General features: G+C 35.9%; 1 long non-coding RNA gene across 1 annotated transcript in view, besides 1 other annotated feature; it reads right to left on the bottom strand.

Annotated features, from left to right (window-relative positions):
• LOC105375639 (uncharacterized) overlaps nt 1-20,804 on the bottom strand; it is a 49,696-nt gene extending 28,892 nt beyond the window's left edge. The window contains exons 1-3 of the long non-coding RNA XR_007061005.1: nt 20,630-20,804; nt 13,343-13,425; nt 11,721-11,887 (exon numbers count right to left, since the gene is read on the bottom strand). This is a non-coding gene — a long non-coding RNA (uncharacterized LOC105375639). The remainder of the gene's footprint in view (nt 1-11,720; nt 11,888-13,342; nt 13,426-20,629) is intronic.
• Nucleotides 20,604-20,898: a silencer, noted in NCBI's record as "tiled region #14314; K562 Repressive non-DNase unmatched - State 24:Quies". NCBI's record gives its function as "represses a minimal TATA promoter and a strong SV40 promoter by Sharpr-MPRA in K562 cells {active_cell/tissue: K562}" and the evidence as "EXISTENCE:reporter gene assay evidence [ECO:0000049][PMID:27701403]".

Here is a 24,610-nt window from a genome sequence, read left to right on the forward strand (position 1 = left end):
AGGGACCAAGTCATATAGGGTCTCCTAATCATGGTAAGGAAATTTGAGTTTTACTCTATGTATTCATCTCCTAGGGATGTTGTAACAAATTACTACAAACTGGGTGGCTTAAAGCAACAGAGATTTATTTGCTCACAGTTTTGGGAACCAGAAGTTCAAAATCAAGGTTTTGGCAGGGTTGGTTCCTTCTGGAGGCTCTGAGGGAAAATCTGTTCCATGCCTCTCTCCTAGCTCCTGATGGTGTTGATAACCCTCTTGATCCTTGGCTTGTACATGCATCACTCCAGTCCCTGCCTCTGTCTTCACATCTCCTCCTCCTCTCCTGTGTCTCTCTTCTTCTATGTCTTCTCTTCCTATAGAGCACTTGCCACTTGATTTTAGGCATACTTGAATAGTCTAGGATGATCTCATCTCAAGATTTATAACTTGGTTACCCCTGCAAAGGCCATGCTTTCAAATAAGTTCACATTCACAGGTTCCCCGTGGACATATATTAGGGGGAGGCATTTACCTCACTGCAATTAATTTACAATGAAAAAAACCATTATAGAATGACATGCAAAGGGGTGACAGAAGATTTATTCTTTTCTAGATTAGGACCTGATTCAGGAAGAACAAGGGTGGAAGTTTTTGGCAGTGAGGGATGAGGTGTTGGGAGGTTGCTGCATCCATGTGGAAGCAGGAGTAGCTAAAAAGTCTGAGTTGGGAGTGGGGCCGCTTGGTGGCAAAGGAGTATGAAAGTAGTGTCTGGGATGAAATTGGGACAGTGACACCCAAGCAGCATTGTGATCCTAGGCACAGCTGCTCTAACATGACACAGAAGTCAGGTCTTTGGTTGGAAATCAGTCAGGTCCCCTCCTTTTCATGCTTCTCATTGCCTCACTCCTGGCCCTCTGCAGGCCTCCTTTTCTTCTGAGTATAGTTGCGACTGAGCACTCAAAGTTGCTGCTTTTATGCCCTACTTCTTAGGACTCTGTCCCTTCCTTTGTAGAACTTACATAAATCTTAATGCTCAATTACAAAAGATTTTGAACCTCTAGTTTCTCTTTGTACCGTATTGCCCTTCTGGTGGGATCTGGGGTCTCCATTATGCGTTGCCTGTCTGTTATGTGGTGAGATTGCCATAGGCAGGAAAAAAGAAACTATTTTTCCCCTAACTGAAAATTAGATCTTAGCAAGTAGTTCTTGCTTTCCCTGTCTGAAAGCATTTCCAATAGTACTCATGGCAAGATTTCTTTAGAAAGGCAAATAGAAAAACTCAAATCCAATAAGCGAATAGTATGGACCAAAGCCTGCCCTCCATAATTTGCAATCCTTTCCCAGAGGCATGGAACCAAAGGTGAGATTTATAACTGGGTAGTAAACGTGTAATTGAATTGTTCATTTTCTTGTAAAAGTCTAAAGTACAGAATGTGTGATACAGGACTATTGAGGATCCTAACTACTTGTCATTCTATCTGTCTGATAAGTGGGAGAGAAAAAACAACTTTTTGTTGGGCAGCAAGAGGCTGAGTGCACTAGAGAAACATGGACCTTTCTTAAAATGGCAACTTTCCCTATTTGCAGATTCCCTGCAGTGAGTGTGCAGGGGATTCCTCAAAGGATGGGTGCAGCTGTTTGAAGTCTTTTTCAGTTGCAAGTGACAGTGCACCTACTTCAAATTGGCCTAGCCAAATAGGGAGTTTAATGGGCAACTTAAAACTGAGGTAGTACAAGGCCCCGGATGCTTCAACAATATCTCTGGGGTCCAATTCTTTTCTGTTAGTTTCAGTCTTTTTATACTGACATCATACTTAGACACTTCCCATCTAATGTTGGCAACAAAGACGCCAGACCTCCAATTTCGCAGTCAGCAATTGCATTGCTTCTGATTGACTCATCTTTGAACGATTAGCTGTATCAAGAAGAAGGCAGTGCTGATTGGCTAAGCTTGAGTCACATGCCCTCCCTTGGAGCTGTGAGTGAAGTCAGCACCACAGGAACAGCATAGGCTAAGAGTAGAAAAGGAGCGATTTCTCAAAAGGACATCAAGGTGCTGCTCTCAAAGCAGAAACAAAAACAAAAAAAATCAAGGAATAACAGCAGCCACTAGTGAATGATGTCCATGCATAGCTGTATGGTCTTGGGCAAATAATCCAGCCCTGTTCCTGTTTCCTCATATTTAAAGTGGGAATAATGATATTAGTATTATTCATTATGCCTCATAGAATTACAGGAAGATTGAGTTGTTATGTGTAAAGCACATTAGAACAGTGCCCAGTTACAGCTATGTTACCTTTAATATTTATTTACTTATTTACTGTAGGAGCACTGTCTCTGCTGAGTTTTATATAGACGGATGTCAAGCTGTTTTACTGAGCAGGTTGAGCCAGAAAGATATTGCAAATTTATACACATGCACCCAGAACTAGACAGAAAGCAAACATTTCAAAGGGGAAATGAAACATATCCTGATTCCTATTACTTATCACTGTCTTCACTACTGCCCCCTTCTTCAAATGACACAATCACTCCATGGACTTCTGAAGCATCCTCTTTTGTGATCTGACTCCACTCTCGACCTCTCACAGTCCAACCCCACACCATAGCCCAGTTAACCGCTACAAGGCATACATCTCTAGCTTAGTATTTTCAAGTGGTTTCCCATAGAAACCAGAATAAATGAACTTCAACTTCTAATTTACCTGGTGGAGCCATTGTCTGCCCCCACAGTGCCACTTCCCTTCACTGTTGCCATGATCCTCCACTTTGCAGCCTCCTGGTCTTCCTTCCATGTCTCAAAGAAGCTCATTCTCATCTCTTTTTAGAATTGTCTTCCCTTAGATCTTTAAAGGGTTGCCTCCTTCTCACTATCCTGGTCTCAATGTCAGCTCCAGCAAGAGACCTTTCCTGATCAACCCAGGGGAAGTATTTTTCCCTCCCCTACCTCAGTAATTCTTTATGGTATTCTACCTCTTCTATATCTCTTAATACCTGAATTTGTCTTTTTTATTTTCTGATTCCTTCTCTAGGGGCAAATATTTGAAGAAGCAACAAGGGATGAAGTATTACCCAGGGCAGAGGTGTAGGGAGAGAGCCTAGTGTATGAGGCTGCTTTTCCACTTGGGAAAATTGTTTATACATGAGAGGTCAGCTAAGACTTTGAGAGAGTGAACAACAACCCTGCTAGTCTATGAGTTACAAGAACAGATATTAGGGTTTAGGGGCTTCCCAGGAGATAAGCCCCTTGCATTGTGTTGGGTCCCTAAAAACTGCACAATAAAAGTAATGATGAAATGGAATAGACAGCAGTTTAACTTTGTCATTTTCATCACTGAAATTAAATTGAGGTAATTGCCAGTGCCCCAAATGCTCTATAGAGGAAAATGATATTATCCTAGGCCTCAAATTATATCTGTAAATAATTTTGTGTATGTTGTTTGTATTATCAATAAAAACAACCAGAAACATGAACAGACATAATAACAAGAATGATATGGTTTGGCTCTGCGTCCCCACCCAAATCTCATCTTGTAGCTCTCATAATTCCCACATTTTGTGGGAGGTACCCAGTGGAAGATCATTGAATCATGGGGGTGGTTTCTGCCGTACTGTTCTGGTAATAGCAAGTGGGTCTCATGCAATCTGATGGTTTTAAAAAGGAGAGTTTCCCTGCACAAGCTCTCTCTTTGCCTGCTGCCATCCACGTAAGACACAACTTACTCCTCCTTGCCTTCCGCCATGACTGTGAGGCCTCCCCAGCCATGTGGAACTGTAAGTCCATTAAACCTCTTTCTTTTGTAAATTGCCCAGTCTCAGGTATATCTATCAGCTGCATGAAAATAGACTAATATAAATAATAAAAACCATTTTTTTAAATGGGCAATAGACAAATATTCACAAGAGCTCCAGATAACTGAGTATCAAACACAAACTTTAAAATAACTTTTACTATGTTCAAAGACATAAGAAAAGATTAATAATTTAAGCAGAGAATGGGAAACTATTAAAAATAAAAACAAGGCCAGGCATGGTCTTAATCCCAGCACTTCAGGAGGCTGAGGCAGGAGGATCACCTGAGCCCAGGAGTTGGAGACCAGCCTGGGCAACATGATGAGACCTCGTCTTTGCAAAAAATTTAAAAAGTTAGCCAAACGTGGTGGCACATACCTATAGTCTCAGCTACTTGGGAGGCAGAGGTGGGAGGATCACTTGATCCTAAGAGGTTGAGGCTGCAGTGAGCCATGTTTGCAGCACTGCACTCCAACCTGGGCAACAGAACAAGGCCCTGTCTCAAAATCAATAAATAAAAATAAAAAAGAACAAAAAGGGCATTCTATCACTCAAAAATAAGGTAATCAAAAATCAAGAATTTAACAGATAGATTTAACAGCAGCTTAGACTCAGCTGTAGGGACAGTTAGTGGAATGGAAAATACATGAGAAGAAAATGAAGGGAAAAATGGATGGAAAGTACAGTGGTAAGGGTAAGAGATATAGAGGATTCATTGAATAGGCATAATACATTGCAGTGGGTGTTCCTGGAGGAGAAGAAAGACAATGGAGCAGAGGTAACCTTTGAGACAACTTTTAAGAACTGATGTTAAGGCATCAAGGTAAAAATTCAAGGATCTACAAAAAATTTAAGAATGATAAAGAAAAAGAAATCCACACCCAAGAAGCAAAAGAAAAAAAAAAAAGACAGATTGCTTTTGAAGGTGAAACAGACTAAGAGCTGAGATCTCAAAAGAAGCAGTGGAAACCAAGAAACAAAGGATTGCTATCTTAAAAGTATTAAAAGAAAATAAGTGTCAACCTATAACTCCAAATGCAACAAAAATATATTTCAAGAACAAAGTATTGATATTTTTAGACAAACAAAACATGAGAATTTGTTATCAGCAGATTTTTGCTCAAGGAAATACTAAAGGACTTCATTTTTCAGATAGAAGAAAAATGATGCCAGATGGAGTGTTGGAGATACAAGCAGAGATGTAAAGCAAAGATAATGATAAGTATGTGGTCATATCTAAAATAATATTGACTATATAAACTAACTATAATATTAATGCAATGTCTTATTTAGCTTCAAATATTTATATGATTCAAATGCATAACAGTGACATATAAATTGGAGTAGGAGAAAAAATGAAATTAAAATGTTTTAAGATTATTGCATTATCCAGAAAGAAAGAGAAAGAACCAGTTACTATTTTACTTTGATATGTCAATGATGCATGTTGTAATATCTAGAACAGTGAAAGAGTAATTTTCAAGTTAATGGAGGAATAGTTAGAATGAAATAAAATTAATCCATAATGGGCAAAAGGGGGAAAAAAAGAATATAAAGCATAAGTTGACAGAATGTCAAGGAGAAACAGACAACTCCGCAATCACCGTGTTAGATTTTGCCCTACCTTTCTCAGCATTTATAAGATAAGCAGAAAATATATCATAAGGAAATAGATATTGAAATAGATACGTAGTTAATCACTTGGTGTTAAATCATTGAGGTATGTACATTTAATCTTCTTTACTGTATATGTGTTCTATTTCCAATAAAAAGTTTAAAAATAAAGTAAAATAATTAGCTTAGGATCTTTTACTTTATTTGGTTTTCAACTTTATCACTAAACAAAAGTCTCACAGGTATGTCAAACTCAACATTTCTAAAACTAGAACCATCTACCTTAAATCTATTTTCCCCCATTAATGGTACCACCACCTACCCAATAATCCAAGCTAAAATTACAAGAACCAATTTAGTTCATTTATTTCACTCATTCCCAAGATCCAAGGAATGGGTAGTGTGAATTTCAGCTCCTGTTACTCCCCAACCCATTCTTTCCATTCACACCAACAAGGCTGTCACTACTTTTCACCTCAACTACTGGGTCTCTCTGCCTCCAGGCTGGTTCTTGTCTCCATCCCTAACATTGCCAGAGTAAGGCTCTTAAAGCATTAGCTTAATGCTGAAGAACACGGTGTTGGTTTTAAATTTTGTCTTTTCCATTAATTCAATTGTATGACTTTGATAATGCTATTTAATCTCTTTAAACTTCAATGTATTCTTCTATAAATGGTTATAATAACATCCAGCCCCTAGGATTGTTGTAAAAATTAAGTTTATATAATATATCAGTATCTATGTATTTGTGTAGGTATCCACACATCTAGATAAATAGAGAGGTATAGATAGGTTAGTGTTTAGCTTAACGTAACAGTTCAAGGAATGGTAGCTGTTTAAAGTTTGCCATCATTCATATCCAAACTCCTGCTTGCATTCAGTTGCTAGGCCATGGCAAGCTGTTTTATTTACATCCAGGACCTTTATATATATATATATCCGCTTTTCCTGAAAAATGTTTTATTGCTTTATGTCTACTTTTAAATGTTATGTTGGCCAGGGTTCTTGCCTCTACCATTTTCTCTTACTGGTGGTTCTCAACTGTGGCTGTATTTAGGCTCACCAGTGAAGTTTATAAAAATACAGATGTCACGGTTCTACCTAGAGATTTTGATTCAGAACTGGACATTTATTTGTACACTTTCTTGACATATGTCTGGACAAGTAACCAAGAATAAGAGGCTCTGCCATACTCTCAGTTTTTTCAGGCGATCTCAGCCGTGCTTGGTTCCTCCAGCCCCAGTAGACATCCAAGTTCACATTTACAGCCTTGATTTTAATCCAGGGTATGTCTCCTGCGTTCTATACTCATCCATGTAGTGCCTCTACTTGGGTGCTCAGTCTGTTAACACTTTACATGACATCTCACCTCCATCTAATCTCCTTTTCCTATAGTCTCAGCATCCATGAATGGCACTATAATCCACCCAGTAAGTTAACAACTTAGACTTGAACGTTATTCACAAGTAATATGTTTTGTATATAAAAACAAGCTCAAAAGAAATTTGTAAAAGGAAAACATGTACCTATAACCCCACCTCTTACATGCTTTTTCACATTGCCATACTTTTTTAAATTGAGGAATTAGAGCGTTTCTACACTCTTTTTCCTAAAATAAGTCAATTCATTGCTTTTGAAAATGCCAGATTGCTAGGCCAAGTATACATAAAAATTTATATATGATAAATGAGACACTAAAATTAATTTGAAAGTGATGGATTATTCAATAACTGATGTTAGGGTAAATGGTTAAGCATTTGGTAAAAGTTTAAAATCATACTCCTCTTTTATATCTATACTGGAATATATCTCAGATGAATTAAATACATAAAATTTATGAAAACTCTAAAAATTAAATGTAGTTGTTCTGGGATAGGAAACTTTTTAAAGAATGATACTAAATCCAGGAGGCTTAAGGTGAAGAACTGCTAGACTTGACCACACAAAAATTAAAACCTGTTTGACAAGAATTACTATATCTAACAGTAAAATGACTACAACAACAAAATGACAATAAGCTGATAAATAATCATAACATATATGACTACCCCCTTTAAGGTTTTTTTAAAAAAACCTATATAAGAAAAACATGTATATCATAATAGAAAAATATGAAGACTCAAATAGGCATACATATAAAATTAATCAAATAAATACAACACACAAAAAATATATCTTTGACTAATCAAATTGGCAAAGGTGAAAAAACTGTAGCAATAGACTGTGTATGAGCCAATATCCATGGTCATAATCTTTTGATGGATGTACAAATTGGTACAACCTCTCTTGAGGGCAATTTGGCATAATGCATCAAAATTTAAAACATATCCAGTTTCATTTCTAGGAATTCACCTAGAGATCACTGGTCAGGTGAACCAAAGCAGATGCACAAAATGTTCATCAAAGTTCAACTTTTAATATTTTAAAAACTATATATATATATATATATGAATAAGTGTATCTCAACAGAGAATTAGTAAACATATGCTTAAATTAGATAATATATAATAGTAATATTATATATAATTATATATATAAAAGCAGTAATATAATTTTATATACATGGAAAATATTAATAATAAGGAGAAAATTGTGGTGATTTGCTTCCTGTTTAGAAAATAAAAACTGTGACATACTTGTAATGTTCCTGGTACACTCTTTTGCACAGTGGTGTTAGTGAAGGTTTTATTGCACTCTATTGTTTGTCTAGATTTTCTTCGTTTAGTCAAATGAACATGTATTATTTTATTACTAGAAAATACGATAAATATATTTACCAGAAAAATAAAAGAAAATAAAGTGGAAGGTTGCTGGGTTTTGGGGTCTGTTATAATGTTGGTATTGGTAGCTAAAAGTTTGGAATACTACTCTGTCAGACTGCCTTAAAGGTGAGAACATTTGTAGTTAAATTTCAAAGATCTAATTGTCATGCTCACTTTCTAGAAAAAGATAAAGCAAAGCAAACGGAAAATGAACCGACATATATATCGATTGTCTAGTATGTGATAGATACTGCGTTAGGTATTTGATATGCTTAAATAGCCATTTAGTGTTTAGGTTACGGTCACAGTTAGGAAATGGGTATTATATGCTACCGAAGCAGGAGGAATTAACTCGTTGAGCATATTCTCCAGAAATACAGAAATGTTTTCAGTAACTACCAACTGAAGCAAAAAAAGAATCTCTGCAATAGATTGTTTTAAAAGGCTCATTATTACACCTTTCTAAAGGTGGCATGTGTTTTAATTGGCAATTAAGAAATACCTGATACACTATGGGGCCTGAGAATGACATCTGGGAACAAGGGCAGGTGGAATGCTTGAGAAAACCACTTGTTCTTTTAATCTAGACCCCAGGAATTACACAACGTATGTGTCAATTACCTTAGGAGAACCTAAGTCCTTTAGTAGTGTTTTAATCTAACCTGTTCACTTGACACGTTTGTTTTAATTGGTATTACTTTGCAAATTGCTAAAAATATGGAAATACTAGTGATCGCCTCATTAATATTCAGGGACCTCCTGTGAGGGAGGTAAAACTCAACAGCTGGCTTTTTCCCACCTAGGCTCACAGGATAATTGTCTAAGTTTGCCTCACAAGTTATTGGTAGTTGTTCAGAAGACCCAAATATAAAAGCTAGAATAATGCTTTTTTCACTTCAATTGTATTGCCCACAGCCAACTCCACAGTTCGGTGGAAAGCTGACAAGAAATATTTCTTGATTGAAACATGCCTCTTGGTCTGACCTACCCCATCAATTGGACATTGGCTACCTTAGCCTTTGAACACTAATAGCCACCAAACCATGACATTTTGGCCTGAACCAAAGCAAAAACGTCTTTGAATCTTGTCTCCAAATCTGTAAATTGGGATGATGATAATATGCACCTCGCATGGTTATAGTGAGGATTAGATAAGGAAAGATGATCAGGGGAATGTTAAATTTTAATTTCATTTTTCTCCCATAATACTGGCAAAAATTTAAAAGACTAGGGCAAGGCTTTTGAGACTATGGAAATAGGCACTGTCAAACACGATGGCTGGGACTATAAATTGGTACAAAATTTTCGAAAGCATTTTGGCAGTATTTTTCCAATCTGCACCTCTTTCAATCCAACATTTCATTTCTTGGAATTTATACTACAGAAATCCTCACGTGATTAGGTAAAGACAGATGTACAGCAGGTTTATTCATTTTTTTAAGTAAAAAAATTTGAGACCATTTAAATATCCATCACTAAAAAATGTTTAAATATATTAGAGTAAAATCAAGCTATTACATTCCATACAGCCTTAAAAATACATACACACACATGCATACACACATATATATGTATACATACGGATGTACTGACTTGGAAGATTGTTCAGGATGTATCATTGAAAGAAAAAGGCTAGTTACAAAATAACACAGAGGATGATACCATTTCTGGAGCGGGGGAGGGAGAGAGAAAGAAAGAGAGAGGCAGGGAGGGAGAAAGGGAGAAAATGAGAAAAGGAGGAAGGATCTTGAGAACATAATCTGAAAAACATCCCATAATATTATCAATAATTAACTTTATGGAGGGCTATTGGAAGACAGGTTTTAACATTTATTATATATAATTCTGTAAAGTTGTTTTTTTAATAAATGAATGCATACTACATTGGTAATAAAGGCAGAAAAAAGAGCAGGAAAGGAAGAAGAAGATAAATGGGAAAATACACTGGTCCCTCAATATCATTTCTAGTTTACTTTTTCCCTCCTACCAACCCTTTTATTTTGCTTTCTCCTTCCTTCTCTACTTCCCCCTCTCTCTTTCTTTTCCATAGTTTATTTTGCCATTTGTCAACAGTAATTCAGAGCCAGATTTACATTTTGACTCTCTTTAAAACCTTTCAAGTCCCTTTTGCCTACTGAGAAAGATCAAGGTCCTTAGCAAGGCATTCAAGGCCACCCGTACTCCAGATGATGTGATCAAGCTATACATGACAGGCATAGGAAAGATTTTAGAGAAGTAATGAATGAATAAAGAAGAATTACACACTTTTTTTGTAGCCATCCTGTTAACTACACTATGTTATGCATGCTCTTTTTATATTCCTAGTATTTTACCATTGGTGTAATTTGACAAAACGCCACGCCACTATGATGGAGACCCACCGAATTTTACACATAAGACAATTCCTCATACCATACGCTCTATGTGGAATTGCCATTCATATCACTCTCCCCTGCTTGTTCCATTATCGTAGCCCATATAATAAATTACTATAAAAATTATAAAGCACCCTCATTCAAATCTAGGTATTCCATATTTGTTATTTGAGTGAACAAAACTAATGTTCACTTCTGTCTGATTCATGTACTCACTGTGATGCACTATTTGCAATGGTAACGCACAAGTATCAGGAATCTGTTGTGTGCAATGCCTTACTCCAGTCTGAGGATACAGTAGTCAGTGAGATGTCTGCTGTTTCATAGGATTGCCATCCAACATTTTTTTTCTCTTCCTTTAGCAATCATATCCTGACTTGCCTTTGGGAAACAAACCTACTCTTAGACTGCATGTTAGGATAAATCGTCTTGCATACCTCAGTCTAGAAGAGGCACTGAGGTGGTCTTGGCCAATTGAGGTGTCACATGCCCCGTGCCATGGTGATAGTTAAAGATGGGCATGGGATCCAAACCAAGAAAATCACTACTAAACCAAGGATTTCTAAAGGAGAAATGGGAAGATTCTTTTTGCTTTTCCATTAAATTTGAATTCTAGGGTAGTTAAATCAGGAGCTGCTAGTGAGCCCTGGGTGAAATTCAAGGGAAACGCCTACACGCCAACATGAAGGGGAGTACAGTGGTGAGATGGAGAGAGCTGCACCTTGGTAACTATGTGAGCTCCTGGATCAAGTCATGCCTGAAGGCAATAATGTCTCAGCAGTTTTCAACTAGTGATCCACTAAATTTTCTTATTTGCTTAAGCAGGTTTGAGATTTCTGTGACTGTGTGATTTAAATCCCAAAGATTTTAATATAATGCATTATGTTGTTAAAAACTGTAGATTGTGTCATTACTTCAAGCATCTGGAAAGGGATTAAAATTTCCTGTAATTTTTTCAAATTCCTCTATTCACAAAAACCTTAGAAATGTCACAAATAATTAAGAAAACAGTGAAAAAAATTTAACTGTTAATTGAAAAGCATTTTTAAAATAAATGTAAATGTTTATTGTTTCCTGCATGCTAAAATGTATCAAATACCTTTCCAGCAGAGATGGGCTCAGAGGTCCAAAGAAACAGCTATTGGTCCTTATTGTGACCAAAATCTTTGGTTAAAAACTAGTAATGATTGTACATCACCTTCATATCTTTGTTCTAATGTCGTTAATAAGGCGGCTCCACAAACAGGACTAAGTAGGGAAGTGATCAGGTTGCAGAGTTGGGAGTGTTGTTTTCTTCTGACCACAGGCAGAACTCATCACTCACTCATCTTGAATGTTTGTTTCTATTTTGCACATGTTCAGTACCTTCATCAAAGTAATCACCATCATTATAATCAATATGAGATCATATTCATTCAAGGGGTTGCATATTATCATTGCTTTTTTAGTACTTATGTCTTGTACTTTAAAAGTGATAATATAGATACATCTATCTTCAAGATAATATCAGTAAGCTGCACTAATGTAGATGGCTAATACCTGCACAAGAATGTAGTCAAAAGGTACATCATATTACTAGAGAAATATTTAACTGTTCAATTATGAACATAATCAATTATGATTTATGAGGTGATTTGCAGAATTTAAGAGAGCAGACAATTGAATTTAAGAGGAAGAACAATGACAATATCATTGTCCTCTAAGGAGAGATGATGTGGAAAGTTATTTGGAGAAGGGAATGGAAGTTAAAAAGAACATCTCAATAATCTAAGCAGGCATTAAATGACTGGGGCCAAATCCAAGGTACCCACCTTTTGGTGGGACCTAAAGCCACTACTTGTTTAAGTGATTTGACAAAATCGAAAAACTTGATACAAATTATGTGCTCATTTAGGAGTCTACAATGAGTTGTTCAATGCCATGGTAGTATCTGATATTTCATAAAACCTTGCTGTTTTAAAAATCTCTTTTTTATGTTTCTAATTCCATAATTGTAAGAACTAAACTAGCAACATTATATTAACATATTTACATCATGTTATATGGAGATATATAATTTTTGTAGATTATAGAATTGGAGAATATTGATTAGACAGGAGGAAGGCCTGATATTTGAAACTTGACTCATAAAGTTAGTTTTGAAATAGACTTTCCTGATTATTCTTTATTAAAGAGTTGAAGTTCCTTTATGATAAGCACCTTATAGATTTTTATAGAGAGTATATTTATGTAGATTTCTAAAAATAAATCTAAAAAGGGAAGTGAGGTCAAAGACAATTTACGGTATAAGCAGCAAATATTTATGTACATATTTTATTTGTCAGACGCTTTACTAGCCATTTTGGTATTTTGTTCTCACAATGATGTAGGTATTAATATCCCTATTTTACAGATGAGACACTGAGGCTGAAGAAGATTTACTTGCCAAAGATGCATAGATAGTAATAGATGACAGAACCAGGAACACAACACAAGTCTGTCTGAGGCAAAGCTCACTTTCTAATCTTCTTTCTAATGCTTCTAATCTGATCTCTCTGCTTTCCAATCTCCTGCCGTATTATACTGTGCATTACAAATTTCTTTTGCCAATATTGTCCATTTCCTATTCTGCTAGCTTCTCCACCTTCTTAATTCTAATTCATATTCTTCAAGGAACTCTTGAAAGAATTGGGCCCTATATTTTTCATAATAACCCATTGCTTTACATGCAGTCCTGAATGTGAGTGTGTAATAGTAAAGTCAAAAGGAAATCAGTGCCAGGGTGACATGGAATTTCTACCACCGATGATGCCAGATGAAAGGACATGTGAGGAAACATACCTGGGAAATCTAGGTTCTTTGGAGAAATCTGGAGTCCTTTGAAACACTGCCAATTGCAAATGCCTTATCTTGCCTCTTGACAGCTGTGATAAAGGAAGTACAAATATTTCAGAAATAATCACAATAACAATACCTAACTAACCTAGCTAAATCTTATTATGTGTCAGTCATTAGACTAAGTGCTTTAGCTGTATTATCTCATCTAATCCTCATACAAATTGTACATATTAGGTGATATATTAAGCCACTTTTAAAGATGAAGAAACTGAGCTAAGGGAGATTAACTTTCTCAAGCTGACTCAGTAAATGGTAGAGCAATAAATATTATCCCACGTAGAGTAGGTATACAAAGGCAAGAATTCTTCTTCTATTTTGTCTCGTTGCAGAGCCCACCTTTTTGTATTAATCATTACCATTGTGATAAAGACATTTAAGAGGACCTAGGAGTTCCATTTATTTCCTGACTCAAACACAACTTAACCCAAATATTTTGCAACTGTTTAGTTCTTAATTTTCAGTGTCTGAAAGACATGACTAAAATAATTTTATTTTCAGTTTCTAAAAATACTGTATATTTGAAAGATGCTGAGTTCTTGAAGGTTAGTTTCCATTTATCATTGGAAAACAATTGTGTCACTCTAGAAATTATTTTTAAAAGATAGGCATTAAGATTATGTCTCAGTTTGATTTGTGAAAGATTGGCATTTTAAAATGTAATAGGAATTTTTTAAAGATGACTTGATTTTAAAATGCCTCATTGAGAAAGGAAAACATTTGAACTAGAAAGGGAAATTTGGCACATATGAGTTGTTAGCTGGTAAAAATAGGTGTCTAATTCTGGAAGAATCCATTATTAAGTGCTTCATAGTGAGAAGATAGAAATATGACATCCCATCACCCTTTGTGTCTGATATTTTATAGTTGCTCATAATGCTAATTTTAATGCAGAAAGTTAGTATTCAACAATAGGCAATATAAGTTACTTTTTCCTTCTTTTTTTTTTCTCTCAGGACTTAATTCTGCAAACTGCAATTCACATACACAGACACACATACACACACACACTCACACACACAGGTACGTAACAGAGACACTGGAAGCAATGCAATTCACGTTTGCAGGTCTAGATGGACCTTTCTGTCTGAAACAACTAAGGGCAATGCAGCTGAAGCAAATGGTCCTGCATTCATATGTATTCTTTTTGAGATAAAGGCAATTAAAAGTTTTAGAACTTTACATATGCTGTGTAAAAATTTTAAACCCCCTCCTTGCAAAGGGGAACACTGGAAGAGTCCCAAGATTTTCTTTCAAGAAACATCATATTAATATTCTCGCGTATTTGAGATTTAACATTTCATATTCTTTCGCCTGTACCTTTTATTGTTCCTATTTACAGTGCACCTGAAACACATTGTGTAACTGGCAGAGAGCCCAGATTTTCCATTTAGGAACAGTTTGATGATTTCACTTTTTCTTCTTTCTTTTTTTTTTTTTAAACAGCAGGTGCTCTACATTGTAAACAATGCCAGCCACCATAATATTATTAGCTTTTGAATTTTTATTACATTCTTGCCTTCCTACATATTTTAAACTTCAGTGCAAGGAGTTTTTGGCACAAGCTCAGCAAGCTTCTTAGTTCATAAGGAAGATAGATTCCAGCAAATAGAGTGCTTCATTGTCATTTATAATTAGAAAGTGTAAGATTTACCTAATCACAAAATCACCCAATATTTTCAGGTTTGTTTCTAATTTTCTAAGCAATACATTCACATCTGTCCCATGCAGAATGCTAATTCCCTTTTGGTTGCATGAGTTTCACAAATGTTTAACCCTTCCCTAGCCCATTATCTAAATATAACTCTCTTTTAGCTTATCTTTACTTTGAAGGCTATAGTAAAGCAAATATTTTGTTTCTTTAACACTTCTAAAATGGCCAAAGCTCATCATAATCGATGTATTCAATTGAGTTGTTTTAGCAATCAATGTATATCACTGCATGATCGATTTGGCTTCAGCAGTCAGCATGGAATAAGGAGATGGCTAAGGTAATACAATCAGCAATGCTTGCTGCCAAATGTAATGTATTACATTCCTAGCAATGGTGACCAAACACTCAGCGAGGAAAAAGTATTTTTTACTTAGCATGTGCTCAGTAGGTATTTGCTGAGAAAATAAATGAGTAGAAAATAATTTCTGATGTCCTCAGAAGTTCAAATCATGTTACCTATAATACATATATTCATGCAAATTTTGTCTAAAAAGTGACTTCAAAATCAGCTTAAAGTACTGCTGGAAATACTGAATTAAACAGTTGAAAATGAATAACCCAGCTATCTGATACATTGCAAGAACTGCTCTGTGGAGACTGATAAAAAATAAATAAATAAAAAATAAAAAAAAAAAACAAGAAAGTATTTACAGCCCCAAATCTGTATATTCATGTTATTTTCTGAGACTAATTTTAAGATCACACTTAAGATAAATAATGCTTAGTATTTTTCTTCACAGGTTGTGAGGAATTTTCCATTAGCTAACCAAAATGGGGGGTGGGGGAAATCAACCTATTTTATTTTTCAGCTATGATCTTTCCCACCAAACTGCATTTAGAGCTACATTTTTTCGAGATCACTTCAATAAGTGAAAGCCCAACAGAGAACAGATGCAATATAAGAGCAATAAAGGAAGAAAAAAATTAAAAATCCTTTGCTCTCCCTGCAGTACATCCGTAAATCTATTAGCATTATTTTCCTTTCTTCTCTCTCTTTCTCCTTTTTTTTTTTTTTGTTTTTGCATCCCAAGCCAGATCTCAAGTTCTCTGAAGCAACCCTTAATCAAGCTCCCCAAAGGCCTACGACTGCATGCAGCAATTTCTCCCGTGCTCTCAGCACAGATGTTTAGAGCACATTCCATTACACCTACATGCCATTACAGCTAATGGCTTATTCTGATGAAGAAAGCTGCTTTCTGCTCAGTGCAGCAAAGGGGAAAATTTCCTCCTGTACAGTTCGATCCCTGCAACAATGAAATGTGGGGGCAGGTGGTACAACAGAACTCTCTAATGTTAATTACATACTGTATTACCCCCAAATTTGGCTGGTCATTAATTATGCTAATTTACCTTCCTGAAAATTAGCACCATCAATGTGAACATTTGAGCAGATCATAGCAAAATGTAGTCTATCATAGATGCTTGCAAACCTGAACGTTTTGAGCCATCCAAAGAAAAGATGACTCTTATTGGATATATAAAACTTAAGAAGAAATGGTTTATGGCTATACTTGGTCCTTGTAATGGTAAATGTCTGGATTTTTCAGGAAGATAATATAAAAAGAAAGCAACTTTATCAAATCCCGACTAAAAACGTGTTTTATTAATTTTTTAAAAATTTCAAAGTTGTGAAATACAGAGAAAAAGCACAAAATTGAACACATCAAGGAAAATAAGGCTGGTGTACTTTGAACTGAGTAAAAATCCTAGGTATTATTTTGAAAGAAAAAGAGTGGAGGAAAAGTAAAGAATAAAACTTTGCTGGCAGTGTCTAGAGTTTTAATGCTATGGAGTATAGTGATTTTCGTCTATGCATTTTTCATAGAGCCTTGATAAAGAGACATGCACATTGTCTTCAACAGCTCCTACAGTTATAGATTGTATTTTTTTATTTATTACTCCATAAAAAATTAACATGTCTCCCCTTCCAACTAAAGCTCAGATTTTACCATATTGATTATAGGCTTAATAAAGTGTGCGAATCAGGTTAGGCTTGTTTTTCATATAAATTAAGTAAGTACAATTTCATTTTGGCCTGTTGAAATTGATTGGATTTTAGAAGTAAATAGAATATCTTCTCTGTGGAGTGAACAGTCTCTGTTTCCTCTTCAAGGCTGCTGTTTCCTTCTATCCATCTCCAAGAAGCCATCATCATATTAACATAGATGACAATCTGGCAAGGAGGTGCTGATCAAAGATAAATTTCACACTCGCACTTCGCATTTTCTAATTACACCATCTGTGTCAGACTCTTTCGTGGCAGTTCTGCCCAATCTGTCAAATGCTGCGTGCCTATGGGAATGCAGAGGAGCTGAGAAGATCGCCTTGTCTCCCCCCATCCTCCCAGCCGATTCATCACCCCCAATCGGAGCTGGGCAGAGATATTAGTCTAATTGGGGACTGGAATGAAGGTTCCAGGTTGCATGGGAGATGAGGTGTTTGGGGGATGCAAGACATGAGATTGCAATTTGAATCATATTACAGGGCCTGCCCTAGCTTATCTCAGAGCAGGCTGAGAACAAGCCATGCATGCGATATCAGGATGGGAGGGGTGAAGACAAGGGAACAGTTTTTAAAAGAATCATGAATGAGAAAGTGTCTTCTTTCATTTCTCTCTGTTTCTTTCAGACACATTAAGGATAAATGATTGTGAACAGGCACTGATGGGAAGTGCTCATCTTTTATTATAATATTATAAAATATAAGTATAAGAAGTTAAACAGAATGACCCAACTGATAAGGCCAGATCTAATCTAATCAAGGCCAAGCAAATAAATCCAACAGTTCTACCTAAATAACACAAATTAGTTCTTGTGGAATGTACATGATACTCACAATTGAACACAATAGACTAAAAACAAGAGACACTGAAGGCTGCTAGCTACTTTAGTAAATAATTTTCAAATAAATATTAAACTTTCAGATCCAGTTTGATCTCTTATTTTTTAATTTAAGGTGACAAAGTCCATGAAATACTAAAGAAAAATGAAATGATTACCCTTTCAAACTAGAGCCATGGCATATCTATTTCTAGTTATTGATTTCTTTCTGCCACATGTCACTGCCTTTAAGCCATGTTGCCACTGATGCCAAGGTAAGCAAATAAATGTAATAACTCATTTTTAAGTCCTCAAGGGTGTACACTTGTTTGTGTTTCATAGCATGGTATTGCTATAAAACCAAGGATAATCTGTTCCTTCTTTTTTTAAATATAAACAATTTTTATGATAATACTATTTCTGTTGCCCTCGAAAAATTTAGGATCACTTTTCACCCTAGTCACTCTCAAATGAAAAAGTCCAGGTTGAAATGGAAACAGGAAAATAATGGGAGTTGGAAAACTTGACTCCAGACCCAGCTCTGTTAATTACTTTTTTGATTCTCCATTTTCTATAAACTCCACTCTTCCCACTTCATATATTTGTGGCATATGCTTGTGAAAGTATGTTAAGGATTATGAAAATCCCTGAAAATTAGAAGGTCATATTATTTATACATTTGTGTATTTATATTCTGTCTCAAATTACAAGGTGTTTTCATTAGCTATTTAGATATAGTTGACTGGAGATATTTCATCCCCAATGCACCATCCCAATGTCCACATGCAGAAGTAGGACCTCTCATGTGCTTATTTTGCCCCATAAGAAATCAACTCTTAAAGGAAAAGGACTATATCTTATTATTCTTTGGCTTGCACATTATACATGATCACATGTTTATTATTAAACCTTATTAAATAGTATTTGTAAAGAGTATTGGTAAATTTAATATTCATTAAAGGAGAAAAATATTACTTGAGTCATCGAATAAATCCAGGCTGATTGCACTAATATGATTCCATTTGCAGGAAATGAAACCTCCTCAACCATTTGCCTCTTTAGTATTTCCCTGCTTCTGAAAGTCAGGATTTTGTGGTCTAATATTAATGCCAAAGTTTTCAGTTTTGCTTGAATGCTAAAATTTTTCTTTTTAAAGTAAGGGGCAAGGTGACTTTAATATGGACTATTCCAGAAGGACTTCGTTATGAGGACAAACATAGATAAAGTTAAGCCACTGCTTTAAGAGATTATCTTCTCCAGCCATAGTAACAAATTCATGGGAATAGTGACCTTATGGTTGTTTATAGTTTTCTGATTAAGATGCAACATCATTAGTTGCTGTTATATATCTATCTATACTTATTTAGATAGTCTATATTAAAGATATCTATCATAATATAACTGGAGATTTCAGAGAAAATGTAGAAGAGAGAATTACAAATGACCAAGTAAAAACTCAGAGACAGGACATATTAAGTATAGACTAAATAAATGTATCCTTTTGATGAAAGAGTAGAAAGATGAAGAGAAAGTTTAAAACAATATTCAATTTCATAAGGAGTCATTGTCCATGTTAAAACAAAAAGTGTCCTCCCTTTTAAACCTTCTGAATGCCCTACACTGGGCATCTTTGAGGGATCCACTTAGTAAATGCTGTCATTGAATCACTTAATTACACCACTTGCTTAATTCAATTATGAGGAGGCACTGGATATTAGCTGAGGCAGATGAATTTGTGTTCTCAATTGTTGCCATGCAATAGTGTCCAATATCTAAAACCTGTCTTGAGTCTTCTCTTTTCTCATGAATTCCTAGATAACTAGAAAAAAAAAGTTTATAAGTACTGTGCATTTTCAGAGAGAATAAATGAGTATTTCCAGCATTATTTGCAGAACTGCATTTCTGGAATATTAACATCTCTCTATTCTGGTTAAAGAATATTGGTTATAAAATAGGTAAATATATGAGACCTGTTGTAAAGGGTAATTTTTAAATTTAAAAGAACTATTGTACATGATGCTTTTATTTACTAAACTTATAAGAATAATTTTCCTTTCTCATATATATATTGGCTAGATCTTTAGCAGCTTGAAGATATTTACAATATAGTTTTAGATTGGGAAATACTCATGTGTTAAAAAAAAAGATCTTTGGAGAGCTCACTGTAGTATTTCATCACTAACAGCTTTCAAATATGCAATGATTTACATCTTTTCTAAATCCACAGGTAATGTTAAGAAAATAGTTGATAGTTTGAAGAATAAAAAGGATGCAGAGACTTGGGGGAGTCAACAGCTTCTTAACCATTCAGTCACTTCCACAACTTAGTTTCTGCCCCAGCACCCACTTCCATGTCATGTTTCCATTAAGCACTAAGAACTAAAAATAAAGTAATTATGTCACAACTATGTAATCCAATCCAAGGAATCATGCATTCTTATTTCAGTAATGCTTCTATGTATAAATATTTCAAGAATAAAGATTACTTTTGGGCTCTCTGGCTCACCAAAACTCAACAACTCAAAGTATAATATTTACAAAAAAGAAAAGTAACATTTTGGACCAGTATTCACAGAGCTGTCTTCTAGATAAGGCATTAAGGATGGGAAAACTCCAGCTTCACCTCCAGCATCCTGGAAACTAAACGGAGAAAAGACCTACTGCCAATTCTGTTGCGTCTTGATCCCTGTCCAATCCCACCTCAGCAAGCTATGTTTCACACCCCCATTTCCAGCACGCTTGGAGGAGCACCCAGAGATTTGGAAGTAGGCTCAAAGCTTATCTCGACTCTCCAGACATCAGCAGTGTGAAAAACGGGACTTTTTAAAATAACATTTCCTACTCTTCCTGCTTCTGGTCAAGCCAAAAATTCCACAGAGACCGTTGTTCTCATGGAATGCTGGCACTTCCTCTGCAAGGCACAGCGAGAATCTGGACGTGCAGAGGGATGTGCAGATTAAAACTGATAGAAAAGTTTCAAATTAGGAGCACAAAAAATGTTAGGGAAGCACATTTAACAGAACTAGAGTTCTCAGGAACAGTCCATGTATGAGCAGTTTCCCTAATGACAAAGTTGAAGTCTAGCCAGCACCCCCACGGTTCACTGACAACATGGGTTTTACCTCTAGAATGTATATGATATCCACAGAGATACACAATTAGTGACTTCTCATTCAGCCCAATCTATGAGAACAAAAGTTTAAAAATACTCTTTGCAATAAAAGATTTTGCTTACCATGAATGAAAACAATTAGTTGGTAAACCAAAAGAATACTTGATGTAAATAAAATGAATATATAATTTTATTTTTAAAGAGATAATAAGATAGAAAATAAAACAAAAACTTTTCTGTGGAGGCCGACTTTTTCAAAGAGCTTCTCATCAGTAAGTGGATTTAAGCATATAAGTATAGTTTTAAGCATTGATAAAATATAGCAAATTAAATGTATAGTTAACATATTAATAGTTACCCAAAGGATGCAAGTGCAGATCAATAAAATGTTTTCTTTTTATGTTTGGAGATATTGAACAAATTTCTCACAATCACAGATATTTCTTTGAAAATTCTATGATTTTGTTTTTTATTTTATTGTATCTATTTTATTGTTTTAAAATTCATTGGTCTATGAAACTATTGGTTAGGAATATCATATGGAACATTTTTAAATAGCCCCTTTTTGTGAAGATTATTTTTGGGTTTGAGTCAGGTTACTTTTCCATCACTGAGGTGAATATGTCACTTGGGTAAGTAACTGAAGGGCATGGTGTTTTAGCAAACCAAAACGTAAGCAAATATCCTCATTGCCAAGAGGAAGACAGTGTGGCTCTGTCTGCCCACAGGTTGCAGAAGACTGAAGCATTCAATCTTCAAGGCATTCAACCTAAATAAAAAACACATCATCCTATTTTTTTTTAAGTTTGAAGTCTTAGATTTGAGGGGAGAAGAAATTTTGTGGGAACCAAGGACAATAATTGGGGAAAGAGTTTCGAATCTTTAATTCACATTGAATATGTGTACTTAATATCAGTATGTCCTTTACACAGATAATAAAGCTTTTAAATTAAAACAAAATGCAGATGTAGCATTTGAATTAAGCTTTTCTCTGAATACTAGCTGTAAAAATCACTTACAGTTCTTCTATAAACAACTGTCTATATTTTTAAAGCTTTTTTATAAATGGGATTTTTTTTCCTGGAATATTCAAAGTCTAGAACATCCAAACTGGACCCTCTTCATGCCCACATAGGAGTTGCACATGAATATGTAGATAGGAGACCACAGAACCTAGCAGCTGAGGTTCACCCTTCCAGGATGGGTCCACAACCAACATGTCCAAGACTAAGCAAGCAGGACACAGTGTTCTATAACAAACATATGTACCACATTCAGGAATCAGACCCACAAATGAGTCCTCCAAGGATCTAGAGCTCAAGAAGCCAATTTTGAATTGTGCTTATTTGTAGTGTAAAGTACACCACTTACTCATAGTATAAAGCAACAAGAAGGAGGGTAAAAGGCATGGTTTCAGATTAAGTCACATTGGGTGTGAACCATGCATATACCTCTTACTATCTGTGTAACCTCAGGGAAGTTACTTAGACTCTCTCTGAGTTTCAGTTCCTCATTTACAAAGTGAATATAATAATGTTTATCTCACTTTAAGTAAATAGGCTTAAATGAAACTTAATGTCAGAGAATACACACACACACACACACAAATGTGCACACTTATATTTATGTAAAAGCATGTCTACTACTTAATACCTATACATGCTAAGTGATCAGTAAGTGCTGGTTTAGACAACCCCCCACACTGTTTTTTTCTTTCTGTTGGAATATGAGCCAGAGTATCTTACTACGGCCAAAATTAAAGTGGAAGAGAAAGGATCATGGCTTTTGTAGATTTCTCACTAAACAGTCCTCATAGTAGATGTGAAATATATTCACTATGACTCAGAATTGTGGGAAAAGTAATCTTCTCACTCTTAAGCCTGCCTCTTCCTGTTCTTAGGCCCTTATTCTTGTTAATTGTGGTGGAGATGGGCGGAAAGCAGGAGGAATGTTTGATGTTAGATGTGAGATGATGGCAAAGTAAGCAGTTAAAATCACACCCACTTCTAGTATATTTTTAGTCAAATTAAATTTTATCCTCCATTAGAGTTGTTTATCTCTCAAACTGTACCCCTCTCCTCATTTCCAGAATGACATCTGGTTAGGATCAGAGCTATTGTAGCCACAGCTTGGGCCTCCTGTCCCACCCTGCCCTTCGTATCACTGTGGGTGTCTCTCCTTTCCCGAAGCACCCTGAATGCCCACCCTGAATGCCCCTAACTCAATGGTGGAAACACCACAAACATTGTGATTCATAGAAAATGAATAAAACTTCAGTTTACTATTATACATTTCCATTTTAGCATTTATGTTATGATATTCACCAGTGGTTACAGAAAAACCTAGGAGAATGGGTGGGTATCTCTATGTACGAGAATAACACAAACATTGATGTTAGAGTATCCAAAGAGTTTAACCTTTAAAGGGATATTAGAGAACATTCTTCCCATTTCCCCCCAGCTTCTCTGTAGACAGATATATCCCCTCTGAGAAATACTGAGAGCTATAAACTTTCTTGGAAAACTGCTGTTATTGGCAGTAGGTTTGAAAACATGCAGCATGTACCAAGGTAGAAGACTTCATTTCTTAGACAACTTCTCTATCATGGTATCAGCCCTAAGCCCTTGAATTGTTGAGAGGTAAGAGAAGGGTCAGGTGTGACTGCTATCTCCAAGGACTTCTTTCTTTAACCTGCCAAGTAAACTAGGATCTAACCAATCAGGAGAACCACAGAGCTGTCTGCTACCTAGGCAGAGAGTCACATGCCATCTGGCTCAGAATTCAATATTCAGGATTCTTTGCCTCAACCCATTTTCTTTAAGACAACCTGACATACCCCCATACCAACAGGAAGCTGAGGGGCCAGGCCAGTTGTGTTCATGACAATCATATAAGTCTTTTGTTGCTTTTCTAGATATATTCCCATTTCTTTCCTGTTACCATGTAAACCAGAAAATTCGCATCCATCGCTCACATCTTAGACTTTGCTTTTGGTTACCCTGGCTTTAAATCTTTGGCTTCATTTGTAAACCTTAGTTAAAATTCACCTCTTTCACTTCAGGCTAAAGTACCTTGGCCAGGATAGCCTGCTTTCACTAGGTCCTGGCTTCTCAACTCCTGGCTCATTCTGCTGCCTGGTAGCCCAGGGAAGTTTCCACGTAGAGGAATTCAAGCAACAAATGGTATCAATTAAGTTTTGATCTTTTCTGAAATATATGCAGTGTAGGAGAACCAGTAATATTCCCCCAAACCTGATGATCTTTAGCTATTGCACATTGTGTTCGTTTTATTGTTCTAAACCATATTTTAGTTTGTGTCTTCAGGAAGCAATTGGTATGATTAGGCATGAAAAGCAAAGTTGGATTAAAACAAAGGCCAGAGGCGGGGGGAAAAAGATAGATCATACAAGTAGCACAGGTATTCGGGAGGAAAGAAAGAGCAAGAAAGTGAACCTTGTCCTCCTGTAAGCACAGCTGGGTGGAACATTTATGCAATACCGTCTATGTGGCAGACACTGAGCCAGGTGCTGCTTCATGACGCCCTGTTTAATCCTCGCAGTGACAACGGGC

This window comes from Homo sapiens, chromosome 8, assembly GCF_000001405.40.
Source record: "Homo sapiens chromosome 8, GRCh38.p14 Primary Assembly".
Taxonomy (NCBI): domain Eukaryota; kingdom Metazoa; phylum Chordata; class Mammalia; order Primates; family Hominidae; genus Homo; species Homo sapiens.